Raw genomic sequence first — 12,544 nt, 5'->3', positions numbered from 1 at the left:
ACTTCTCATTACACTTAGAATAAAACCCGAACCGAAACTCCTTATCATAGCTCACAAAGTTCTACATGATTGGCTTCTTCCTACCTCTTGGACCCTGTCTCCTACCAGCCTTGTCTTTGTTCACTGCGTTCCAGCTACACTGGTCTGTTTTTGTACCCCTTGTACATGCCAAGTTCATTGCTGTCTCAAGGGGTTTGTTCCTCTGCAAGGGTTGCTCTTTCTCCAATCCTCTTATGCCTTCCTCTCAACATTCAGGTCTCAATCCAGAGAATTTCCCCAACTCCACCCACGCTGAAGCAGCAGCCCCTCTCCCACCGTAGCTCAAGTCATCCCCTGTGACTTGACTTACTTTATCCTCTTCATGGCAATCTCCCATATCTAAAGTTATCTTTATGGCTAATGTCCTTACATGTTTACCACCCATCTGCCTCTGCTAGCCAATACATTCCCCATTGAGGGACTTACCTCCCTTTTTAAAAGACGTGTTCAGAACAGCAAGTTCTGACACACAGAAAGTCCTCACTAAGTGAGACAGACTGACTAACTTGCTGCATGTTCTTGAATGTTTTATTTAATCCTCTGAGCCTAAAATTACTCTTCTGTAAAAAAATATATAATGATTATATTTCTTTCTCACCTCATGGGACTGTTTGTGAAGCTTGCATCAGAATTATGTGAAATCTGTCTGTACACAAAGCTAGCTATTACTACTTTTATGAGAGGATTACTTCGTGATTCCTTTGGACCATCCTTCTGTTTACATATTTCAGGGTCAAAAAACTACTGTCACTGAATGGCTGAGTTGTACACTCTCTGTATGCTGGAATAAGGGAGACAAAGTGAGTACAACCAGCTGTTCTATATGGATATGCAAGGAAACCAGTGCTCTACTGATGCACAGGACAAACAATACCTTTCCTGTCCCCCAGTTGCATAAATGAAGGAAGACGGCATCTAGTCTCTTATAGGAAACCCAGCTATTCTTCTGGTGACAATGATGAATCTTTAGGGAAGTCCATCTGTTTTTTGCCCTTTGCCCTTGCCATGGAAGGGAGGACAAGGATGCAGTACTAGCCACACTTGCTGTGCATGTAAAACCCAAAATTCCAAGTGGAAGAAACTGGACTTCAAAACCAGTTCATTTCACATAAGCCACTAAATGGATATGAGAGGGTAATAGCTTTTCTCTGCCACTTAACTAAGCTGCTAAATCTGAACTTGTTCCTAAATTTTCCTTCCTTCCTTCCTCCCTCCCTCCCTCCCTCCCTTTTCTCCTCCCTCCCTCCCTTTTCTGCTCCCTCCCTCCTGCCCCCCCTTCCCTTCCTTCTTTCCTTCCCTTTCCTTCCTCACTCCCTCCCTCCCTCCTTCCTCTCCTCCCTCCTTCCTCTCCTCCTTCCCTTCCTTCTTTCCTTCCCTTTCGTTCCCTTTCCTTCCTTACTTTCTTCCTTCCTCCCTCCCTCCCTTTCCCTCCTTCCGTCCTCTTCCTCTTTCTCTCTCTCTCTTTTATTCTTGCTTTTGTTTTTTAAAATGTGTAATTTTCTTAAATGTTCTCTTGGGAATTATTCTGACAGAAATCCAAATATTTCTTTCTCTCAAACTAAAATACTGTTTCCCAACTGGCTCAATATTTTTAAACTTTAACCCCTTCATAAATTCTTTAATGCAACAAGACTTTCTTGCGCTTAAAACTGTCATTTTCTTGTTGCCCTCTAACTTGAATGTTAGTTTTTCCAGGAACCCAATACTTTTTTCAAAATATTTTTCATAAATTTTTGAAGTGATTCCTTAGTGCCTGTTAGTCTTCAGCGTTTCTGATGAGAATTCTGATGCCAAACTGATTCTCCTGTTTAAGTAACCTCTTTTTTCTCCTCTCTCTCTAGAAACTTTCTCTTCATCCTTAGTGTCTGATATTTCATCAAGATGTGTCTATTCCAACCTGCTTAGCATTTTGTGGGAACTGTTAATCTGAAAACGTGTCATTGTTCAGCTCTGGGAATTTTTCTTTCTTTTTGTTATTTAGTTTTTATTTCATAATCATAAACTTAATTCAACTCTGCAATCCAGCTAGTCATGGAAGGGAACAAGGAAAACATGGAACCCAAAGGGAACTGCAGCAAGAGCACAAAGATTCTAGGATACTGCGAGCAAATGGGGTGGAGGGCTGCTCTCCTGAGCTACAGAAGGAATGGTCTGGTGGTTAAGATAAAACACAAGTCAAATTTATTAGAGTTGTCCACAGTCAGAAATGGTGATCTTCTTGCTGGTCTTTCCATTCCTGGACCCAAGCGCTCCATGGCCTCCAGAATATTTATGCCTTCTTTCGCCTTGCCAAAGACCACATGCGTGCCATCCAACCACCCAGTCTTGGCAGTGCAGATGAAAAACCGGGAGCCGTTTGTGTTGGGTCCAGCATTTGCCAGGGACAAGATGCCAGGACCTGTATGCTTTAGAATGAAGTTCTCATCATCAAATTTCTCCCCGTAGACGGACTTGCCACCAGTGCCATTATGGCGTGTGAAGCCATCACCCTGACATATAAACCCTGGAATAATTCTGTGAAGGCAAGAACACTTATAACCAAATCCTTTCTCTCCAGTGCTCAGAGCACGAAAGTTTTCTGCTGTCTTTGGAAACTTGTCTGCAAACAGCTTGAAGGAGACGCGGCCCAAGGGCTCGCTGTCCACTGGAATGTGGAAGAACACGGTGGGATTCACCATGGCTGAGAGTACAGGGCTCCTGGCGTCTGTGGCTTCCGCTGGGAATTTTTCTTATATTATTTCTTTGATTTTTTTTTCTTTTTTTGCCCCTGCCATTTTTAGTATTCTCCTATTCTGGAGTTCCTCCTAAAACATTCTCATTCCCTTACTAATATATTTTTTTTCTACATTATTTGGGCTATGGTTTCCTCTGCGAATGTGAACACATCAGCTTTGCTCTTTCAGGGCTTCTTCAAATTTTCTGATATGCTAATGACACAATATTTCCTCTTTTCCAGAGCTGACTCCTGTGTGTGTGTGTATTTTAAGTTGTTTCTTGGGATCAGAGTTCTTAGATAACTTTAGCGTACATCATGGGGCTTGTTAAAACACAACTGCCCAGCCTCTCCATAGAGTTTCTGATCCAATATGTGTAAGGTAAGCATTTCTGATCAGTTCCAAGGTGCTGCTGATGCTGCTGGTTCAGAGACCATTCTGAGATGACCACTGATCATCTCTGCCACATCCTCTGTATCTCAGCCTTGTATAGTTTTGTACATGTTAAGTAGATGTTTATTTGCCAATTGGCTCACTTAATGCAGAAGTTTCCCAAAGATCTCAGACAGTCTGATAACTCTAAAATAAGATTTCAGAAAGCAAGCCAGTCATCAGACATTCAGCATCGCTCATTTTGATAAATGGAAACTAGATCATTTTATTATCATTCTGAAATTGTATATAAAAATACACTTTGCAGTTTGGAGAGAAGATAAGTCAGAACTAATTTCTCTTCTCACTGTACCAATTACTGACTATCTGTCTAACCATTACATTTCAGCTAAAATATAAATTTGGGGAAGATGTGGCATAGACTGCTTACTCACTCTCTGCACAAAATTATGTGAGAGGTTTTCTCCTTGGGTCACTTCAGCATTATACAATTTTGTTTTAGTTCCATCTGTGTTGCAGCAAAGCTGAAAAACTAAAAGATCATTTAAAATTACATGTGATAAAAAGATCCTTATTAATTCAAATATTTGCAATGGGAAACAGCCAATTAATGTGATTTAGTATTTAAGAAATAAGCCAAAAATTGTGCTTTCCTATGTGTGATGCAGAATCTAATTTTTGGCACAATATAGATGCTTTGAAATGTCTTAAATCATGATGGAAAATTTTAGGAAAGTAAATGCTAAGTGTGACCCTGCTAGGGACTTGCTAGCTATACCTGGGAAAGTCACTTGCTTTCTATTTCCGTTTCTATATTTCTGATATAGGAACAGTACTTTTTCTTGTGCGTAACGTGTTTACTCAGGATGTATTTAATTTTTAAGCAACATACTTCCCCCAAGCTCTTGACTGAAGGATGCTAGATTCCTCACCAGAACATGTTGTCCCCTTTCATCAAGGGTGCAGCTTCTGAAGGTGTAGGAACCCATGGAGGTAAAGGGAAGGTGTCACCAGTCCAGCTAGCTCACTTTACATCCAATTCCTGAGCCAGTAATGATCACCAGTATCAGAGATAGTCAAGAAATGTCTCTTTGAAAAGATTTAAAATATAATATTCAATGCTGGCCTGAGCCCAATGTTAATAGGAATGAAAACTGATACATCACTTCTGGAAAGCAGTTTGGCAGGAATCATCAAGCTCCGTAGAAATTCACTTCCTTTAATTTAGTAATCTCCTTTCTAGGAATCCATTCCCAGGAAATGTCAGAGATACTGACAAATATTTGTATGCACAGAGAGTTGCTGCAGCACTGTCTGTGATAGAGAAAAACAGAAAACATCCTGAGTTAACAATAATAGAAGGAAAGTTAAATAAATAATGGTTCATCAGAATTTCTTCTAAATTAGTTTGGAAGAATATCCCATGATATAGCAAACTGCTCTTACCATAATGTTCAGTATGTTGGGAAACCAATAAAACCATACGATCCTATATTGGAATGTGCTGTGTCAACTTGGTTAAGGTGGAAACTATAGGTCCCAGAGTTCTGTTCCCTATATGGGCTAAAGCTGGCTCAAGAGGAGCTTGTGTGAAATTTAGAGGTGACAAAGTGGCCATTGCTTTCTGCAGGTATTTACGGTCAGATGTAGTAAGGACAGACAAAGGAGTGTCTAGTGGGGTCCAGTTCTCCGCTCTGTGTCCAGGTCCTCTTGTTTCTAGCCCGCTGACCAACCAACAGTGGTCCCAGGCCCAGCACCAGCTGCCTGCAGATCCCTAGAGCACATAACTACAGAGGCAGCAGCTTTCAACAGACTTCTCCAGAGATGCTCCCTTGGTGGTCTCCCTTTGTGTCTGGATATGTGCATTTGTTTCCTAGGCCTCTTACAAAAAATTACCACAAACTTAGTGGCTTAAAACAATGCAAACTTATTTTCTTACAGTTCTGGAGTCCAGATGTCTGAAATCAGTTTCTCTGGGCTAACGGCAAGGTGTCAGCAGGGTTGGTATCTTCTGGAGGCTCTAGGGGAGAATTCATTCCCTTGCTTTTTCTAAGTTGTGGAGGCCACCTGCATGTGTTGCTCAGGTCCCCACCCTCGCGTGGCTCCAGTTGTCATCATATTTCCTACTACTGTAGTCACATCCTTCTGCCTCCCTCTTATAAGGACGCTTGTTGTCACATTGGACCCACCTGGATAATCCAGGAGGAAACACTTGGCTTCTCAGATGACTGAAAATGACTGCTCTCTTCCTCCAATTTTCTCGTCTTGGGCCTTCATTTCTCTCCTCCCACAATTGTAAGGCCGAATTCCTATAAGTCCTATAACATAGTAACTCTGCTCCCCCTACTTCATTTTGAACTTTAATTGATAAAAATTCCAATGAGGTATAATAAAATGTACTCTTACACATACTTTTTAAAAACCTGAAAGGATTATATCAATATGTTAACAGCACAAATCTCTGGGTGGTAGGAATATAACTGAAGAGGGGAAGAGGTGGAAGATACAGGAGAGACAGAGGAACCTGAAAGAGCAAGATCCCGAGCATCTGAGATAAAAATGATATATCCCAGAGGAGAGACAATGCAATAGAAGGAAGCAGGAAAGGACAGGTATGGAAGCTGGTGCATTTGCAGGTGTGTGGTAGGAAGTTAAGGGATTTCCTGTTGTGGCTTCTACTTTCACTGTAGGTTGAAAGGTAAGTTCACATGTTAAGATGCAGGAGGAATGGCTGGGCCTGACATTTGAGGAGAAAGAAGAGCATTTGGTAATGCAGGAGAGAGGTTGCTGACAGGAGGAGGGCCATGATCCTTTGCATGATGTTGAAAGCTAGTCTGAGCAGCACCATTGGCCTGGGCCTGTGACTTTCTCTCAGCACATTTAGTAGCCTGGGTGCAGGAAAGAGAAGGCAGAGTGTAGAGCCATCCAGATTTGGGGTTTTCCAGCCAGGAAAGAAGGGAAGGCCATGGGGCAAGGGAGTTTAGGTCTCCAGTGTAATGTATCTCCCAGCTTCTCCAGGATTTAGATGAGGAAATAGAAGCCCAGGGAGTTGAAGTGACTTCCCCAAAGCCACAGGACTGGTGGAGGGCATCACTGGAACTAAACCCAGGTCTCCTGTCCAAAAAGCAGGGCTGCTCTGCTACAGCAGACTGTGGGGTTGCTCAAAGAGTGGTCTCCTTACCAAGTCAGAATCACCTGGAGCAGGGGAGGGTACCTTCTGTTAAAATGCAGATTCCTAGGCCCTGGCCCAGCTTTCCTGATTCAGAGATACAGGACGAGTGGCCCAGGAGTTTAATAAGCATCTCCAGTGATTCTGAAGCACACTAGGGTTTAAGAGCTGGAATAGGGCAGAGTGTCTGTCTTATGGATGAAATACAACAGCACAATTATGGTGGGGAGTGCCGACGAGGAAGGGGATATACATAGTTCAACGTGGAAAGGCAAAATATGTAAAATTCTCAAGAAAAGGGGAGGGGAAGGCAGCTTAGGGCACAATGAAGGTCAACAGATACCAAATGGGGGGTAGGTCTGCAAGGATGGAGGAAGTTTATGTCAAGAAATGGACTGGAGCTAAAGGAGAACCAAAGACAACTCCTACCGTTTTGCCACGGCATTTTGTTTCTTCTCTTGGTGAAGATTCAGAGTGTTCAGAATCCAAGCAATATTCATGCTTCTAAGGAAATGTGCTTCTAAGGAAGTGTTAATGAAATTCAATATCCTCTCAGTTTTCCTGCTAACTAAATATCAAAAGCAAAAGGAACTACCACAGACTCAACGGGCTCTAACTCCAGACTTAGAGTTAGGATAGGCAGTGCTCCTTGACTCCAGTATTGCCAGTAATGAAACGTTATGTGCCCTCAGCTGGCAGGGAGACTGTAACTGATTCAAAAATAACAAGGTCCAAAACCCACGCCAATTGGTAGAAAGAACAGATGTACCTCCCTGAGGAAGTAAGCCTCCTGAGATTTGCATTTTAAGATGTCTAAGCTAGAAGGTGATTTCATGCAGTAGAGATTTGAAAGGAAAAGCTATCTTGGTCTCTACAGCAAATTTACCTAAAATATGTATAATTAGACTCATATATCTAAAACTCATTTCTACCTACAAAACATCCTGGACCCACAGGCTGTGGCCAAGGTGGAATAGGATTCTCCCCTCTTTCTCATCCCCTCATTGGCCAGTCACTAAATCCAGTCCAAGTAACTGTCTAGTCCATCATCTCTTTCAGTTCTCCACGACCTTTGCCTAAGTTCACACTGCCATCTTCTCTTCCCTGGTTTATTACATCAGCGTCCCCTTGGTCTTCCTGCCTCCAGTCTTTTTCTTCCAATTCACCCTCCAAAAATCTAATCTTGTCTCAGTCCTGTTCAAAGGCCTTTATTATCCCCTCTTCTTCCATTGGCTTCAGGATAAAGCCTGGACTCCTTGTTGAACATATAAGGTTCTCCACTGTCATACTCCTGCTTACTCTTCTACCCCCTTCCATCCTACTTCTAGGCTTCCCTCTTCAATGCAGGTTGGGAAGCACTAGCCCAGCTTTCCCAACCCATTGCTTCTTGTCTCCCAGCCTTTTTTTTTTTTTTTTTTTTTTGCGATGGAGTCTTGCTCTGTCACCCAGGCTAGAGTGCAATGGCACCATCTCAGCTCACTGCAACCTCCGCCTCCCAGGTTCAAGTAATTCTCCTGCCTCTGCCTCCTGAGTAGCTGGAATTAAAGGCATGCACCACCACGCCAGCTAATTTTTGTATTTTTAGTAGAGACAGGGTTTCACGATGTTGGCCAAGCTGGTCTCAAACTCCTGACCTCAGGTGATGCACCCACCTTGGCTTCCCAAAGTGCTGGGATTACAGGCATGAGCCACCACGCCCTACCTCTCCCAGCCTTTGTATGTGCTGTTTCCCTTTACAGAACACACCCTCTCCCCTTCTTGGCTTTCTCTGGCTTACTGACACTTGTTCTGTAGGTCTCAGCTTTGGTAAGATCTTCGTAGGAAAACTTCCCTGACTGCCTCCTGATAGATCTCACATTTTAAAGGTTAATGAAATTGAATAATAACAAAATGCTACCTTAACAAACATAGTACAAAACTTATTCATTATTTTATAAATATATTTACATATATATGTATATATTTTAATATAGAACTACAAAATATCTTAGAGAAAGTTCCCAGATTATTTTGGAGTAATCAACTTTCAAAAAATTGTATGCTACTTAACAAAACTTTAAATGCTTTGAACTTTTCTGGATTAAGTAACCTTTCTCTGTGATCCCATGGCAACCACCCCCTGCCTGCATACCTCTATCATAGCACTAGTCACATGGTTCCAGAATTGTCTGACTCCCTCACCAGACTATAAGCTTCTTGGGGCTAGGAACACTGCCTTTTGTTGCATCTCCAGTGCCTAGAACGGTGTTGATTATAACCTACATGATGTTGAGCAAGAAGTGATTAAAGGGCAACATCCCCATCTACCCATTTCTACCTGGGTGAGTGTTGAATGCTCTTGCACAACAATTGTCATGGACTCCCCATTTCTGAGCAATGACAAAGGGCTTTCTTTACACTTAGGCCTCCAAACAGGAAATGACTCTTCCGCTTCAAAGGCTTTTAGAACCCCCCACCCAAAGCTATAGAGCTGAGAAAGAAAATCCCACAGAGGGAACATTTGGAGTGCTCCCATAAACAAGACCTACAGCAGACCTTCCCAAGGTTAAAAAAACAAAGTCTAACTCTCTGAAGTTAGTTACAAGGGACCTGCAACAAGGAAAGCATCTCTAAAAGCATCAAAGGAGGCAACTACATGGATACACTACTATGTTGGAAGAAAGTAACCCAGCCTGCACCAAACTTTTCTCATTGTTACAACAGTTAAAGAAGAATTACTGATTTCTTAGGTGAGGAGAAATTAGAGGCTTGTATTGACTCACTGTGGAGCTTTTATTGTTTCTGTACTACAGAATGAATTAGTAAATATAGTTTTCATTTGTACATTTGGTTATTCACAACAAAGCTTTGCGTTAAAAAACAAACAAACAAACTAGTTATCATTATAATAGACACCTAGACCCAGAGCTTCCCACCAGATAATCAGAATCAAAACTCAAGTCTTCAGAATAGTCAAAACCAGATAAGTAAGTCCTCTATCCCCAACTGCCACCGTGTGCATACTTCTCATCCCACAATCCCTTATCAGGCTGTGTCTTATTAGAGTTCATTTCAAGCTCACCATACAGGATGCACACATAATTAATGCTCAAGATTTGTTGAAAGAATGACTGAATGAATAAATGATTGAAATTTGCATGCTACCTGCCAACATTTCAGGTTCTACATCTTAACATTTTATACCTTGTACTACTTTCTCCATCATAAGCATAAATCTTATAAATGGATTTCATGTATTTCTACTCTGTTATATTAACAGCTAGATGTAGCTCTGATGCCAAAGACTGTATCTTCTTCTACCATTAATCTTTCTCCAGCTTGTGAGCTGGAACATAATGATGGGAGTTGTCATAATGAACCCAAACAATAATTGTAATAAGAAAATGGAGAAGAAAATTGAAAACGAAAATGTCTCTCCCACAGCACCACAGATAAATGACCCTGTTCTCTCCTGATTCCAAATCCACATGGTTGTATTTGTTCTTGTCAAGATCATTAGGTACGAAAAGACCATTTGACATTAGTGAGAATAATATTTTTAATAAGAGTAATATATTGATGTTAAAAGAACATATCTCTTCTTTCTGTAGGTTCCTGTCTAGTCTGCAAAACATTAAGGGTTAAAAATACATTCAAAGTACTTAATATAAAGTGGATATGAATGAGACATGAAAGCAAGTAACCTGTCTCAACCAATTTTCTTAAACCGAGATAAACAATTACTTCTAATAAAGCAATCAAGGGCTTGAAAGAGAACAGGTTTCATGCTAACTTAGTTAAATACTAATTTGGAGATTTAAAACACTCTTTCCATTGCTCTTTTCTCCTCTTAAAAGGAGAAAAAGATGTTTTCAAAGTCATTCCCACTCACAATGATAAGTTACATCTTCCTGTCATTCTGAAGCATTTAGTGTACAAGAAGAATTACTAGATAATATAAAGAAATTTATAAGACTGCTACATCATCCTGACACCCTCTAGGTCCTGATGGATTTAGTAATGAGTTCCACGATGAGATCTCAGGCAAATGAAGTAATTAAGCGCTTGATCCAGAGGAAAAGGTATGGCAGCCTTCTGAAGCGCCAAGAACTTGGCTTGCAACGATTGCTCTTAACCATTCCAGCTATTTAGCAGTGACACTGTAAGAAGGTGTTTCATATGTTAAACCAATCTTAATGTCATATTGTCTCCTCCCACACTGCCCATGTCCTAGCCCCAGTGCTCGGCCTTCCTCCAGGTAAGTTAATGATCTTGCCCTAATATTTATGCTTTATTTTAGGAGAGTGAAATGCATTGTTAAAATGGAGAAATTTTTCTCTTCTAATCTTTCTCTTTATTTTTCTTAATTTCCTTGAAGTGACTACTTTAAATTCAACCCAATTCTTAGACGAAAAGATGAAATTAGAGAAGTACTTGGTAAAGTTCAAGATTCTTAATCGAAATTGTTACAGGAAAGGGATCCCCATCCAGACCCCAAGAGAGGGTTCTTGGATCTCATGCAAGAAAGAATTCAGGGCGAGTCCATAAAGTGAAAGCAAGTTTATTAGGAAAGTAAAGAAATAAGAGGATGGCTACTCCATAGACAGAGCAGTCCTAAGGGCTGCTGGTTGCCCATTTTTATGGTTATTTCTGGATTATATGCTAAACAAGGGGTGGATTATTCATGCCTTCCCTTTTCAGACCATATAGAATAACTTCCTTATGTTGCCATGGCATTTGTAAATGCGCTGGTGGGAGGGTAGCAGTGAGGATGACCAGAGGTTACTCTTGTGGCCATCTTGGTTTCAGTGGGTTTTGGCTGGCTTCTTTACTGCAACCTTTTTTATCAGCAAGGTCTTTACGACCTGTATCTTGTGCTGACCTCCTATCTCTCACCCTGTGACTTAGAATGCCTTAACTGTCTGGGATTGCAGCCCAGTAGGTCTCAGCCTCATTTTACCCAGCTCCTATTTAAGATGGAGTTGCTCTGGTTCGAAGGAATCTGACAGAATCATCTGGGGAACTCCTAAAACAGTCTGATGTCCAGCCCCACCCCAGGCCAATTGTGTCCAAATATCAGGGGCTGGCTCAGGCATCTCTTACTAAAGTCCTCCAAGTGGTGCCAATGTATGTTCAGCCAGCATTGAGAATCTTTAGGAAAGTAGAGTCGAGTAGATGAGGTGTGCTTCAGGTTTTCAAAAAGGCAGTCAGTTCTGTACAACTGCCCTGGTGCAGTATTGAGTCTGGAGTTGGGGGTCTCTGGTAACCTGTGGTATAACAGATGATTTATATCTTACGAAATTGTTGTGGAAAGACTTTTAGTTTAATTTAGAAGTTCTTTGAAGTGCATGTACAACGCTAGCTTAAAGACCTTCAGAGACCTACTAAAATAGGGGTAATCAAATAGAAAAGTAAAGCATTGCTGTGTACCCAAGGTTACCACTACCAACTCTCTCCTCAAGTTCTTTTCCCTGCACAGAGAAATCTGTAGAGATCTCCTTGAAATCAAAAGATATTCAATGCAAAGCACATAAGAATCTCCTGGGAAAATTAAGCCAATTTCTTATTTAAGAGGAAAAATGGAAAAAAATTCTACCCAACTTGAAGGAGATGATATTTCACAGTTTCATCACCCACGGATTGACACCATGATATCTCAGAGTTGTAGGTGATGTGGCAGATGACCGGAAACAGCACTTTCCCCTCAGGTAGCTGGAAGTGATTTCGTGAAGGGTCTCCTAGATGGGTTTTTCAAGGACTTCCCATTAAACTGGGAACACTAAAGTCATAGGTCCAGTGCCCAGTGGGCCAAATGAATGATTATCATGGTGGGTAAGGCTACATTATATGGCCAGGTTGTATCTGCCCTTACCAGCCATGTTCTTCCAAAGTGCCTACCTTCTCAGGGTCATTTGACTCTTGAATTCCTACTTCGAGAGTGTTTTCTATGTTAGAACTTGTCCTAAGCCCAGTTCATAGGAATGAGCAAACTTTTCTCCACATTTTATTATCTTTTAACCTTAAAATGCAAGCTCTTAGAGGGTAGGGCCTTTGCTTTCAGGATGTCTGCAAACATTAAAGAACAAAATTCCTTTGGGAGGGAAGTGGAGACTGAGGGAAGGAGGGAGTATAGGGGGGAAAGAGAGGGTGGGGTGACAGATTCTCATCTCTCTTCCTCTATTTAATGGTATCTGGTGTTTCCTCTAAATTTTATGGTTTTGCCATTAACCAAAACATTTGGCCAAGATTT

The 12,544-nt window shown here is 41.4% G+C and overlaps 1 pseudogene; it reads right to left on the bottom strand.

Moving 5' to 3' along the window:
* Positions 1 to 2,026: 2,026 nt before the first annotated feature.
* Positions 2,027 to 2,756, bottom strand: PPIAP78 (peptidylprolyl isomerase A pseudogene 78; annotated as a pseudogene).

Source organism: Homo sapiens, chromosome 5 (assembly GCF_000001405.40).
Source record: "Homo sapiens chromosome 5, GRCh38.p14 Primary Assembly".
Classification (NCBI taxonomy): domain Eukaryota; kingdom Metazoa; phylum Chordata; class Mammalia; order Primates; family Hominidae; genus Homo; species Homo sapiens.
The sequence above is the reverse complement of the archived record's forward strand: the minus strand, read 5'-3'. Positions and strand labels throughout refer to the sequence as shown.